Raw genomic sequence first — 15,666 nt, 5'->3', positions numbered from 1 at the left:
CCTGTTCCTCCAAGGGCTCCACTCTGAAACCAGTCATCCAATTAAGAAACTGGCAAATGAAAAATCTTACAACTACTGGATCTTCTGTCTGTGTATTTATATGTGTTGTGTACATGATGTTTATATATAAAAGTGCTCTGATTAATTGGCTTAGGAAAATAAGCACTTAAATCATATTTTGTCAGAAAAATAGAAACACTAATGCCTTTTGTTCATATGACTTTAGTAATCTTTCAGAAATAAAGACAGTTTTAATGATCATTGGTAAATAAAACTATCTTCAAAATTTAGATATTGGGCCTAAATTTAGGTCAGATATCAGATTTGCTAAATGGTTTAAGGTCATAAACTACTTTGACTTTTGAAAGCCATTCAGTTTACCTACTTTGGAGCATGAGATTCTAGATAAGGTCTGGGAATATATGGAGTTAGCCATGCCCCCTAGCTATGCTAGGAAGAGTAAGACCTTATCTGCACTTCTGATGTCCTAGGCTTCATATCTAGTACTTAATTAAAAATCGCATACTTACCAGGTTTTTCTCCAAAAATAAAAGTTGCTAAGAGTTAACATTGTAATATATAATTGAGACGACTGGAGAAACAGTTTTACATACAAGGTGTGTAAGCAAAGTAGAATGTGTTTTGGCAAAAGATTATAAGAAGACAATGTGTTTTTGTGCCTAGTTTAGAGGGTTAAAGGACCGTTTTAAGTTAAAATAAAGGGTTCATGAGGGGTTGACCTTGTACAGAAAGTTCTGTGGATATGAGCAAGTTGGCTAAGATTTGAAGGAGATTTATTTAGTTTTTTTTTTTTCCTGTAGGTCGAACATTCAAATGAAAGCACACTGATGCAGGTCCAGAATCTGGGCCCAAGTGCCCGAATAACAGGGTTTGCTTAGAAAATTAATCTGTTGTTTAATGGAAAATTGTAAAGCATTCTAAAAAGTTTATGAAAATCTTACCTTATGATCAAACTAATTTAAAACTGGATAGATTTATAAAATTTTATTTAAAAACTAGTTTTAGCATTAAAGACGCACTAGTGCAAGCATGAACTTTTGTTTCCTCTTCTGAAAAATTTTTGTGTAATATTGAGAGACAATGAAAGATTTTTGTTTGCCTTTTGAGTAAAACACATGCACACACACACACACACACACACACACACACACACACACACACACACACAAAATGGAGGGGAGAGAGAAGAGACAGATTGATTTGGCCTCATGCTATCTTCATCGAGTCTTGTTGTTTGGAAAGTTAAGTCCTCTATCAGAATAAAGGTTTTCATTGTTTAAAATTTTGGAGTTATCATTTTGGCCAAATGAATGACTAATGGTTACCTGGGATTCTATTTTGTGGTATCCAGTGTTTTACAGCTTTTGATATTTAACAAATGTTCCAAAATCAAATTACAAAGTATGTCTTTTTCTGACCTAGTTAATCTTTTAGATATTATATCCCCTAAAGTCCAAAAATGACACATTTGGCTTATTTGGCATAAAAATCATACAGGAAGCATTGTCAAATATGAAATAGTGTAGCTTTCTTTGGGCTATATTTGTATAAATATGTTATTGGCATGTGTTCCAAAATTACGGGAAATGCCTATAATTCTCACGTGACTTAGTGTATATTGTTAATAGTTATAATTGTTTTGTAAAGTTGTATGCCACAGAAGTAACCAAAATTCCTAGTCAATTGTGGCTTTAATGGTGGTTGCCCTAAGACTTTTTGTCATACACAGACAATTGTTGTCTTCTTTTGATTCTCTTCAAAAGGTGGTTTGTAATCAGCTGTAGGACTTTGACAGGTGCTCTTGAATGCAGATTTCTAATAACTTTGGATAATATGACATTAGAATAGAGAAAAAACTTTTGGGACTCTTATGGAAACCTGAAGTGTTCATGAATATCAAGCAGAACAGGAGTTAACTGAGTGGACTGAACTAATAGAAAACCAAAGTAATATTTTTTTGACTTCTATGGTTAAAACCTCGCTGAACCTTTTTGTTTTCCAGAGCCAGGAAAACTTTTCTTTTGAGCTATTTATAGCTTTTAACAACTGAGTAAAATATACTCCTGTGAAAAAAATTTGGAGCATATTTGTTTCTCTCTACCTGATTTCTCCAGAATTCTCCAGAATTTGGAAACTATTTGTGAATATTCTCAACTTATGGCAGTATACTTATTTGCATAAGTGCAATAAGAATTTGTTTTCTTCTGTAACAAGACACAATTGGAGAAACTGGTTATCTTACTAAGGCTTTGACTGGAATGGCATGCTTTCCTTAAAGAATCAAGGTTGACTTGTAGAGCCAATAGAAGTCCCTTGGGAAATCTTGCCCCATACCTTGTCTACACAGTCCCTGTAGAAGGTTCCTGACCTGTGGTAAGTAAGGAACGTCGCTTTCTAATAGGCCCAGGAGCCCCAAGTTGTCTTGTGACCTCAAGAGGAGAGGAATTTACCCAACTGATAGTATTTGAGGGTACAAACCCATGGCTGGGCTTGGCTTTAAAAAAGTCTTGGCTGAGATTGATTATGGAACAGAGTTTCATCAAAGCCAATTTAAAAAGCCTATGTGAAGAATAATTATTCTTGCTGTGCTTTATGTAAATAAGCAGGCCAAGTACAATAAGACTAAAGTTTATTTTGTAAACAAATCAGTTCTATCATGATTTGTTTTTAATAAAAATGGGGCCTGGAGAGAGAAAAATAATGCTTCAAAAGAATAGCTATAGTATAACTGTTGTTAGCTGTTCTTGAGGTTTTTTATTTTTATTTTTTGGAATTTGGACTAAATTCTAAATTCTTTGTGGGCTACAAGTCCCCAAACTAATGCTTTCAAATCTTTACTTTTAAAACTGGGAATTTCACTCCTTACCCTAGTACTTATTATTTTCCTTATAATACACTGTTCCCTTAAATGCAGTACTAAAACTATACATGACAATACTAATTCCTTTGCCATGCAAGACTTGGAACCTCAGCCAGGCCTGCGTGAGTACACTCAGACGGTTGCAAAGTGGTTCCACTCCTCTCACCTTGGGGTCAACACCTACTGCTACTATGCCCCTGATCAGCAGGAGGAAGTTAGTGGTCTTCACTCCTTTTCTATCTTCATTAGCCAACACCTTAAGATCAAGGTGCTATAAAACCCAAAAGGAGGGATTGAAACCGCCATTGCAAAATTATAACTGAGACACTGAAAGAGATCTGACCTAAACAACTCCATCTTACTTCTAACCACCAAACTGTCCTTGTTCATTCCTGGGCATAGGCTGAACTAATTTAGGGAGGAACTTAGTTTCTAAGTTTATTATAGTTTAAAACAAAGACAAGGGGCTTGGCATGGTGGCTCACACCTATAATCCCAGCACTTTGGGAGACAGAGGCGTGTCGATCATTTGAGGTTAGGAGTTTGAGACCAGCCTGGCCGATACAGTGAAACCCTGTCTCTACTAAAAATTCAAAAATTAGCCGAGCGTTGCGGTGGGTGACTGTAATCCAGCTACTCGGGGGGCTGAGGCAGGAGAATTGCTTGAACCCAGAAGGCAGAAGCTGCAGTGAGCTGAGATTGTGACACCGTGCTCCTGCCTGGGTGAGAGAGCGAGGCTCCATCTCAAAAAAAGACAATAATAGTCCTTCCAAAACAAACCTCCTTCTTGCCTGTGGACTAGACTGCCTTAGTAGGACTAACAAATTAGCCATAAGACTATGAGATTCTGACCCTCCCAAAACTGCTTCTCAGATCAGTGCTTGAGATATTTTACAGACCTTATTTACACTTGATGGATCAGCTGGCACCACCCAGATCAATTAAACTGGCTCGTCAGATTTTGTGGCCCTCATCCAGGAACTGACTCAGTGCAAGATGACAGCTTCAGTTCCCCGTGATTTCATCTTTAACCCAACCAATCAGCACTTTTGACTCACTGGCCTTCCCCTACCCATCAAATTATCCTTAAAAACTCTGATCCCTGAATGCTTAGGGAGGTTGATTTGAGTAATAATAAAACTCTGGTCTCCCGCAAAAAAAGGCAAAGGATTTGAATAGATATTCCTCTAAACAAGATATGCAGATGTCCAATAAACACATGAAAAGTTATAAACATTAGTCACTAGGGAAATGCAAATCAAATTATAATGAGTTACCACTTTACACACACTAAGATGGCTAGAATAATAGACTATTGTAATAATAAGAACAGACTATTATAAGTTGACAAAAACGTGGAGAAATCAGAACCCCCATATATTGTGGTAGAAATGTAAAATGGTTCAGCCTTTTTGGAAAGCAATTTGGCAGTTTTCTTCAAAAGGTTACCTGTAGCATTGTCATATGATCCAGCAATTCCACTCCTAAGAATATACCCAAAATAATTGAAAACATGTGTCTGCCTAACTACCTTGGTTAGAACCTATAGTACAATGTCAAATATAAGTGGTGAGAGTACACATCCTTGTCTTGTTCTGTATCTCATAGGAATGATCTTAGTCTTTAAGTATTAAATATGATGTTGGATTTTTCATAGATGCCCTTTATGAGATTGAGAAAGTTCCCTTCTATTCCTAGTTTGTGGAAATTTTTTTAAAATCATAAATGGGAGTTTAATTTTGCCAAATGCTTCTCCTGCATCTATTGCTTTACATTCTTGTTTACACTTCTGTGTAGGTTATGTTTGGCTTTTTAATTCTACCATGTTAAAAATTATACCAGGCTAGGCGTGGTGGCTCATGCCTGCAATCCCAGCACTTTGGGAGGCCAAGGGAGTGTGGATCACGAGGTCAGGAGTTCGAGACCAGCCTGGCCAATATGGTGAAACTCCATCTCTACTAAAAATACAAAAATTAGCCGGGTGTGGCAGTGTGCGCCTGTAATTCCAGCTACTTAGGAGGCTGAGGCAGAAGAATCTCTTGAACCTGAGCGGCGGAGGTTGCAGTGAGCTGAGCTGAGATCATGCTGTTTCACTCCAGCCTGGGTGACAAACGGAGACTCTGTCTCAAAAAAAAAAAAAAGTTATACCAGTGGTAGCTTATTGTAGTTGTAATATGCATTTTCTTTAATGAATCTGGCCACATTTTCATGTTGATTGGTCATTTGGATACTCATTTATGTGAAGTGCCTATTCAAATGTCTTTCCTATTTCTGTATAAGCTTGTCTGTCTTTTTCTTATTTATTGGTAGGAGTTTTCATATTGTCTAGATATGTGTCCCTTCTAGTTATTTATATTATAAAAATCTCCCATTCTTTGGCTGTCTTTTCATACTCCTAATAGTATCTTTTGATGAATGCAAGTTTTTATTTTTAAATTAGCCTAATTTATCACCTTTTCCTTTATGTTAGTAGATTTTGTGTCCTTTTCAGAAATCTATGCCAAGGGCATAAAAATATTCTACTCCTTATTATCTTTTAGAAGATTAATCATTTATATTTCATATGTAGATATGCAATCTGTGTGGAATTAAGTATTTCATATGGTGTGAGGTAGGAATCAGATTTTTATGTCTTTAAATATGGCTGTCTAATTGATCAGCAATACCTATTGACAAGACTATCTTTTCCCATGCTTTCAGTGCCACATGTGTCATGAATCAAGTGTCCATACTGCATGGGTCTGTTTCTGAAATTTCTATTCCATTCTTTTTAACTGTATTTTCTTGCACCAGTACCACACTGATGTTTTTTAGTTTATTTTTAACTTTTTATCATGCCAGTTGTGCTTCCTCCAAATAGTTTTTTTTCTTTGCACATTCTTTTTTTTTTTTTCCAATAGGTTTTCGGGAACAGGTGGTATTTGGTTACATGGATAAGTTCTTTAGTGGTGATTTCTGAGATTTTGGTGCACCTATCACTTGAGCAGTAAACACTGCACCCAATATGTAGTCTTTTATCCCTCACCCTGCTCCCACCCTTTCCCTTGAGTCCCCAAAGTCCATCATATCATTCTTATGCCTTTGCGCCCTCACAGCTTAGCTCACACTTACAGGTAACATATGATGTCTGGTTTTCCATTCCTGAGTTACTTCACTTAGCATAATGGTCTCTAATTCCATCTAGGTTGATGTGAATGCCATTATTTTGTTCCTTTTAATGGCTGAGTAGTATTCCATGGTGTGTGTGTGTGTGTGTATATATACACACACACCTATATATATTTATACACTTGATTGATGGGCATTGGGCGGGGTCCGTATTTTTCCAGTTGGAATTTGTGCTGCTATAAACATGCCTGAGTACCATGCTGATGTAATTCTGTCGCTTTATTATAAGTCTTGACGTCTTCAAAAGTAAATATTTCTTTTTTGCTCTTGTCTGAATTTGTTGTGGGTATTCTTGGTACTTTACACTGCTGTATCAGTTTTAGAAACAGTTTGTCAGATTACACACACACACACACACACACACACGCATAAGTCTTGTTGAGATTTTGATTGGAATTGAATCTATAGATCACTTTGGGGAGAATTTGACACATTTATAATATTGAAACTTCTAATTCAGGAACATAGTATTTCAACTTATTTCAGTTTTATTTAGTTTCTCTCAATAATGTTTTAGAGTTTTCTCTGTAGAGATCATGCATGTAATTCTGTCAGATTTATTTCCTAGGCATTTGATTTTTCAATGTCATTATAAATAGTATAATTAAAACATTTAAAATTTAAATTTTATAATTTAAAACATTTATAATTTAAAACATTAAAATTTTCTAATTATTTGTTCCTAGCATGTAGAAATATAATTTTTTCGTACGTTGACCACTTTTCCAGCATAATTGCTAAGCCCATGTATTAATCTAATAATTTATCTATAGTTTATTTTGAATGTCTATATACACAATTATGTCTCCTGCAAATAATGGTAGTTTTTCTTCTTTCTAATCTTTTTTCTTGCCTTATTAGGCTGGACTTACTAGATTAATCCAGTACAATGTAAACCTAATGGGCTTATTATATTAGTCTAGCACAGTAGTTAATAAGTTCCAATCTTGTTTCATTCTCAGTTTCACAGGGAAAGGTTTCAGCATTTGATCATTAAACATGATAGGCATTATTGGCTTATTGTAGATAGCGTGTATCATATTATGAAGTTCACCTTTCTTCCTAGTTTGCTGAGATTTTGTTATGAATAAGTGTTAAATTTTAACAACTTTTTTCTGCACCTGTTTAAAAAATATTTTTTTCTTTTTATGTAACTACAATAAATCATTTTAGTTTCAAATGTTAAACTACCCTTGCATTTCTGGAATTAACTAGTCATAATGTATTGTGTTTCTCATATATTGTTAAATTCTTTTTGATCATATTTTGTTGTGGGTTTTTGAATTCTAGCATTATGTTTAGGATTCATGAGTAAGTTTAGTAAATAATTTTCATGTAATGTCCCTTATCAGGTTTTGATATCAACATTATGCTGACCTTATAAAATGAGTTACGAAGTACTCATTATTTTGAAAAATCTCTGGAAGCGTTTATGGGAAGTTGATGTCATTTCTTCCCTAGTGATTCTGGCTTTTGGGAAAATCTGCATATTCTATGAAGTCTAGCTCTCACCATCTTCCCTCAACTAGCCTCAGATCTGACAGTTTTGGGTAGGTGTGCTTCATAGTTTATGTTTTGGGCTTGTGCTTGTTTCTTTACTTCTTTGAAAATGGTGTCTTTTTCTTGATCTTTTTTGTATGTACGTTTTGCATTGAAATATGCTAAGTACCAAACCAGTATAATGGGCAAAACATTTTAATGGGTTTTAATGGAGTTGTAAGAAGAGAGTACAGCGAAAATATTTTTCTTCTATCTCTTGGGGAAAATACTTCTGTTTTAATACAGGAACTTTTGCTTTAAGCCAAAGTAATGAAGCTTTTTCTTTGGAAATTTTAGACATCTAAGATGGAAGAATGAAGGAACTGTTTTGGGAGAAACATGGTTCTTAAGGAGAGAAACCATGGCGTGTGGGAAAGACACTGGATTGGGAGTCAGCAGGCCTGGGTATTTGACTACATCCTCTCCCTTATTATCTGTGAGGCACTTAACTTACTTGAGCCTTTAGTTTCTTTTCCCGTAAGACAAAGAGAGCAACACCAGCCTTGCCAAGCTCACCGGATTAGTGGGGAGATCAAATGGGATAAAAAACATATATTATCCTATTTGTAAAATGCTATAGAAATTAAAGTATATTATTTTTATGCTTTCATATTGAGGTCCCTGGAAAGCTGTCAGGGAATAAGAAACAAAAGGCTGTTACAGCTACTCTTGCCTTTTTATTCCATCTTAATGAATATCCCCTAGCTAATCTGCAGTCACAGAGGAGTCACATTAATATGGAACTTATATAATTCATAAACTGCCACAGTAGCTTGGAAAGGGTTTAATCAGTTGCCTTCACTCTCAATTATTTTAAAACCTCGATAATAGTCAAATGAGCTGCATGGCAGTTTGATTAATTTGCATTAAGCCCAAAGGTCTTGAATGAGCAGTGAGTTTATGAACATGAAGTGTAAGGGCTTGGTGGCAGCGTATCAAGCCTGAATGGATATCTGGGCTGCTTTCCATTGGTTCCTCCTAAGTCAGGCTGGGAGTGTGTGTGTGTGTGTGTGTGTGTGTGTGTGTAGCATTCACACAATTCCTATCTGTTTATTACATTAGAATTGGCCTTAAAGCCTCTGAAAATGAGCTCATTTGCTGTCACTTGCTAGTGAAAATCTTTGGAATTATCTGTAAATTGCAATTGCCTATGTTCTTCCTGCTCCAGTTTCTATGGTTAACAGAATTGGCTGGATGTTACTTTTATTTTTATAATAAATTTGGTGCTTTATTTTGCTCATCATATTGGTTCGGTAATTAGCATATGTCAAGGCAAAAAAATCCCACTAGATGACAATGGCATTCCTGCATTGTTTTAATCCGAGCATATACAACAGTGAGATGGCTGTTCATTCCCATTTCAGGAAGCCGCCCTCTCAGGCACAGTTCTGGGAGGAATTTATAACTCACATTACCATCTCTGTGGGTTTGGAGTTATAACCCATCTCATCATGAGACATTTATGCCAAAAGGGTCAAGTGGACAAAGAGGGAGAAAAAGGATGTGGGTAAGTGGAGTCAGTCATTTGACTTGTTTTATTGCTCTGTTTTCTATCGGCACTGGACGACTGCTGGTTTTAAGGAAACAAAGCAATCTGGTGTGATGGTCAGGTAGCCCTGACGCTCACCCACCTCTAATCCCATTGGCAGTATTGGTCCCATCAAGGGACAAAGCAGTGGTAGGTAGAATAAATGGGTCCGGAGACTCTCAGAAATGGAGTGACTAAATGTACCATCCTATCCAGTATATGCTTACCTTGTTTATACTTAGATGCTAAATGTTGACCAAAAGTTGCTGATATGGCCAGTTTAAACCTATGAGGTAACTGACAGACAACGAATGTTGGTGGGAAGTCTCATGTGCTTACTCTAGGATGGTATAGGCATGCACTGCCACAGGTGCATCAAGTCAGGGAGGGCAGGGAACTGCCAGCTCCAGCCGTATGTGGCTAACTCAGCTGGTTAGAGTATAGTTGATGCTCTGGGATATGGATCAGATTTGATCCTAAGTGAGCAAGTCAGTTTCTTCAGATCTACTTCTCTACAAGCCAGTTCTCAAATGGGTGCTCTTGGTCACAAGATGATAGATAGGAATCATTAGACTATAATGTTGCATGCAGGAAACTCGGATCTTTTGGGTTGCACTGCTAAGTTTAATTTCTCTGTGTCTGTTTCCTCATCTACAAAAATGAGAGTGTTATGGGATAAACTGTCTCCTCAAAATTCATGTTGAAGTCCCAACCCCCAGTAGCTCAGAAAAATATGACTGCATTTGGAGATGGGGGTCTTTAAAGAGGTAGGTAAGTTGGGTTACTTTGTAGGACCCGAATCCATTATGACTAATGTCCTTATAAGAAGAAGTGAGATCCGCCTGTAATCCCAGCACTTTGGGAGGCTGCGGCAGGCGGATCACGAGGTCGGGAGATGGAGACCATCCTGGCTAACACGGTGAAACCCCATTTCTACTAAAAATACAAAAAATTAGCCGGGTGAGGTGGCAGGTGCCTGTAGTCCCAGCTACTCGGGAGGCTGAGGCAGGAGAATGGCGTGAACCCGGGAGGTGGAGCTTGCAGTGAGCCGAGATTGAGCCACTGCACTCCAGCCTGGGTGACAGTGAGACTCCATCTCAAAATAAAGAAAGAAAGTGAGATCAGAGACAATCACAGAAAAAGGACCACGTGAGGACATAGGGAGAAGACAGCCACCAACAAGCTGAGGAAAGAGTCTTTAGAAGAAATAAACTCTGCAGAAACATTGATCTTGAACTTCCCTAGAACTTCCCCAATCCCCAGAACTGCAAGGAAACAAATTTATGTTTTTTAAACCACCCAGTCTGTGGTACTTTGTTCACAGCCCTAGCAGACTAACATAGGGGAGTCGTAATGTACTACCAGCCTTCCAAGTTGTGAGGATTTACTGAGATGCTTGATGTGAAGCAGGTGCAACAGAATCTGGCACTTAGTACAAAGAGTGCTTATTTATGGAATGGTTATTGTGTAAGCACAAGTCCTCCTGCTGAGACAATTTTTCAACTTGGTGTATGTTCAAGGCACCTAGAGTAGAGCTGTTCCATAGAACTTTCTGTATTAATAGAAATGTTATGTAGCAATGTCCAGTATGGTAGCACTTTAATTGTGACTAGTGATACTGAGAAACTTAATTTTAAAAATTGGATTTGAATTTAAATAGCCACAGGTAGCTAGTAGCTATTGTATTATGCAGTTTAGATTACACAGATCTGTATTAGACAGATAGTAGAAGATACTTATGTGAGGCCCATTTCTGATTTAAATAGCTAAAATATCATATCTTTCATCAGCATTAGGTACCAGATTCTTCACAGTCCTATAGGCTAGTTTACAAAAGTCATCAATCTCATTTTCACTTAGAATTACTGTATTCGATGTCAACTCTTGAGTGTCCAACACATTAAATTGAGTTCTTTGCTATTTTCAACCAAACATGTTAAAATCCCCTATTGCTGTATGCCTTAGTGGTAGGAAATTGTACTTAAGGCTGAGGTGGGAGGATGGCCTGAGGCCAGGGGTTTGAGACCAGTCTGGGCAACATAATGAGATCCCATCTCTGCAAAAAATTAAAAAAAATTAGCCAGGCATAGTGACATCTGTAGTCTCAGCTTTCTGGAGGCTGAAGTGGAAGGATCACCTGAGCCCAGGAGGTCAACGCTTCAGTGAGCCATGATCATGCCACTGCACTCCAGCCTGGGTGACAGAGTAAGACCCTGTCTCACTAATTTAAAAAAAAATAGTATTGAAAAAAGGACCCAAATGAAAATGGCCCATAAAGGGCTTTTATTTGGATATTTGAGGGAATTTTAATTTATTCTCAGGTTTGTATGGATCTCTCTCTCGTGAAGAAGGAACATTGGAAAGCAAGAAGGATTTTTCTAACTGGATCTGAGGCATGAAAGCGAGGTGGGGTCCCCAGACTGTGGCTCAGGACCTTGTTGATGAGGAATATGGACAAGGACCTAGATTCTTACTAGTTGCTTCTCAAAGCAGGAGCGTCTGCTTTTACCTTAGGGGAGAATGATCACCCCATGACTTCCAGCATACTTCACCACTTCAAAAACACAGAGATAGCTGGAAGAGAAACAGCTCTATGGTAAGGTGAGCAAGATTTTTCTTAAGTCAAATTCATTAGAATGGCTACTGAGTAACAGTTCTCTAGGCAGGAAAGATGGAGAGTGAGCCAAAAGGGAGGCCACCGTTGCCCTCAGGGAATATGCCATCTGGCAATGCAGGCAAACATGAGGAAATAATGACACAAATGGCTGTGATAATGGTAAGAAAAGTTACTGAATGGTATGATAGTGTCTGATAATGATACAGACAGGAGACAGGGAAGTACTGGGTAGAAGAGGGTGCTTTCCCAGCAAAAGACCACCCTCAAGCCTGGAAACCCATGGCCCTAAATGGGAATAGGCATTCCTGTTTTTGCACCCAAAAGTTGACTTTTGGCCTGCCATGCCCCCTGTCCTGTACGCATATAAATTCCAAACCCCAGTCTCCATGAACAGATGAACAGAAAAGCAGAAGAGTGCCAAAAGAGCAGAGAAGGAGAAAAGAGAAGCATCTGAACGTCAAGAAGAGTTCAGCTGGGGATGGTTGGAAGGGAGATTTGCTGGTGGATGGCCATACTCCAGGGTAAGGTCACCTTCCCGCTCCATCCCCTTTGCAGCTCCCCATCTATCCCACTGAAAGCCATCTCCACCACTCAGTAAACCCCCGCATTCACCATCTTTCAAGTCTGTGTGTGACCCAGTTTTCCTGGATGTTGGACAAGAACCTGGGTACCAAGAGGGCACTGAGCTGGTTAACACTTAAGCTGTCTGTGGATGGCAGAACTAAAAGAGCACTGTAGCATGCCCGCTGGGGCTTTGGGAGTCGTAGGCACCCACTCCTAGATGCTACCATGGGGCTGGAGCCCAAGAGCACTCATCCCGGCTCCTGTACCTGCCAGTGTGCATGCTCCCACTCCTGTAAGGGGTTTGAGTGCACACTGTGGCCAAACAGATGAAACACACCCCTTTCGCACATCCTGCAAGTGGGGGGTCAGGGAACTCTCCTATTTTCATCAGGGGCAGCTTCCCTGAGAAAGAAATATTTAGGCTGAATTCTACAGGAAGTCCTTCCAGTCTTGAGGAAGAAAGGACAGGAGATGTTTAACCACTCATTCAATACCTTAATATATAAGTACTACATTAGCCACTGGTTGGAGATGCAAATGTGATGAAGATGTTTTTTTCCTGTGAAGATTGGGGTGCGGCTATGTCGAGGGGTAAATGTGTACCAAATAGATGCCAAGACAGAGGCTAGAGGGCAGTCAATGTCAAATGTGGGGTGAAGAGATGGGGTTCAGCAGAGACAAACATCTGTCCTAATGGAAGCTGGAAAGGCCTCACTGAGGGCAGGCTATGCACTGGATATTGGGGATAGGCAGGAGGGGATGGAGCCCAGTGCTTTAACCTGACCATATGGGTCAGGTGACAGTGAGCAGCTGAGCTGACTCCACCTTACTCAAAGGAAGAGATCCTGTCCATGTTTTCTGGTCCCACATAAGCCCAGTTGTAAGGAACATGGCTGTGCTGTGGCCAAGTGGGTATAGGCCAAGGTAAACATCCTGTGTGACTCTGAGTTTAGAGCCCCGGTGTATAACTCCACTTGTTATCACAGCCATGTAGCCATAACGTGAGAAGGCTCATCACTTGGTTCTAAGCCACTATTGTCTGTAAGATATAATTGCCCTGCTGACACTATACAGGCACACTCATGCCCAGAGAGAGGGTTAAGCTGCTGACCCTGAAGGGAGAGCTGGCCACGCAGCTGTGCATGGGAGCAGCCGGCTCAAGCAGCTGAGACAAAGCAGTATAAGAGAGTTGCTGAATAAAGCCATATTTCACCTACCTACACCCCTCTGAGTGTTCTTATAGCTGTCTACCATTCATCTACTCAGTCCCTTCGGACCTCAGCATGGGCTGGAGCCTGGACTTGAACCCGACGCCAGCATTCTTGTGTAGTCTCATGGTGGTGGTGAGAGGGGAGGTACGAGCAAGCAGCCCAGATGGCTGAAATTTAACATTTCTCCTGCTGGGTGGCAGGACTTAGAACCAATGTAATTTGGTTTAAAGAAAGATTGAAGTGCGTTTTGTTGTATCTTAGAGTTCAGGAGTAAAAGTCAAACCTCTTGTGTTTGTTTTTTACCTTCGGTAAACTTGTTAGGAGGGTGAGTGGATAAAAATGTGTTAATATTTACCACAGTACAATTAGTGCCAGTGAGACATCTTACAGGGCATTCAGAAGAAAAAGCCACTTCCAGCTGGAAGAACCAGAAAAGTCTTACAGGATGAGATGGCAGTTGGAATTGCTCATTAAGAACAGGTTGGGGCTCAGTGCGGTGGCTCATGCCTGTAATCCCAGCACTTTGGGAGGCTGAGACGGTGAATCCTGAGATAAGGAGTTCGAGACCAGTCTGGCCAACATGGGGAAACCCCGTCTCTACTAAAAATACAAAAATTAGCCAGACGTGGTGGTGGGTGCCTGTAATCCTAGCTACTCAGGAGGCTGAGGCAAGAGAATCGCTTGAACCTGGGAGGCGGAAGTTGCAATGAGTCAAGATTGCGCCACCACACTCCAGCAAGGCCCTGTCTCAAAAAGAAGAAGAATAAGAAGCAAAAGAACAGGTGGGATCACATAGAGGCAGAGGGAGGGTATACCAGGTAGGGAAAAGAGTTAGGACAAAGTCTTACGAAACATGGGCTTTGGTTGGGTGTGGTAGCTTCCGCCTATAATCCCAGAGACTTGGAAGGCTGAGTCAGGAGCATAGCTTGAGTCCCAGGAGTTTGAGACCAGTCTGGGAAGCATAGGAAGACCCCATCGCTACAAAAAATATAAAAAATTAGCCAGGCATGGTGGTATCCACCTGTAATCCCAGGTACTTGGGAGGCTGTAGCAGGAAGATTGAGTGCAGGATATGGAGGCCGCAGTGAGCTATGATCATACCACTGCCCTCCAGCCTGGGCAATACAGTGTGACCCCATCTCTATTCAATAGATAATTTTTAAAAAGAAAACATGGACCTTCTTCTGGGACAAAGATTAATACTTCTAAGGCAGACTAACAGAAAAACTGGACCCTTCAGCTCTGGGGCTGATGATCTCCCACAGGGACACATCTCCATTGAGAATCACTACATGTGTGTTGTGTCCCTCTAATTCAAGAATATTTTATCAAGCTATACTTGTTATAATTTGAGTTGTAAAAATCAATACAAATATGTGAAATACAGTATAACATTGGGTATTATTTTATAAACTATAAATGGCTCTCTTAAGGGTGTGATTCAAGCCGGGCGCAGTGGCTCACGCCTGTAATCCCAGCACTTTCGGAGGCCGAGGTGGGTGGATCGCCTGAGGTCAGGAGTTCGAGACCAGCCTGGCCAACGTGGTGAAATGCCGTCTCTACTAAAAATACAAAAAATTAGCTGGGTGTGGTTGTGGGTGCCTGTAATCCCAGCTACTTGGGAGGCTGAGGCAGGAGAGTTGCTTGAACCCAGGAGGTGGAGGTTGCAGTCAGCCAAGATTGCGCCATTGTACTCCAGCCTGAGCAACAGGAGTGAAACTCTGTCTCAAAAAAAAGAAAAAAGAAAAACAAAAATAGCGTGATTCACCACCACTTGTCCTCCACATTTGAAAAACACTAGACTCAATTACAGCTTAAGATATGTGTGTGGAGAGCCATGGGGGTTAGGACTAGAAGGTTTGATTCAGACTAAGCTGTTAATACTGAGTGAACCAATCAGATCAGAGGGCTCTGGTCAGAGAAGGATGGATTTGATCAAGGAAGACATTCTGGAAGATGGGCTATGAACCAGGCATTGAAAAGCATAAAGAAAAGATAGTGGAGGAATAGGTAGGGTTAGGGGAACCAGTATCTACTTAGTGCTTTGTTGAGTGAATAAGCAAATAAGGAATGAATGCATGAGTACAAGGTGATACGAAATTACTCAGGTGAAAGTTCCCTTTGATAGAATTGGTCACCAAGGGACAGGTTCTCCAAA

Source organism: Homo sapiens, chromosome 2 (assembly GCF_000001405.40).
Source record: "Homo sapiens chromosome 2, GRCh38.p14 Primary Assembly".
Taxonomy (NCBI): domain Eukaryota; kingdom Metazoa; phylum Chordata; class Mammalia; order Primates; family Hominidae; genus Homo; species Homo sapiens.
This window is presented reverse-complemented; position numbering follows the sequence as displayed.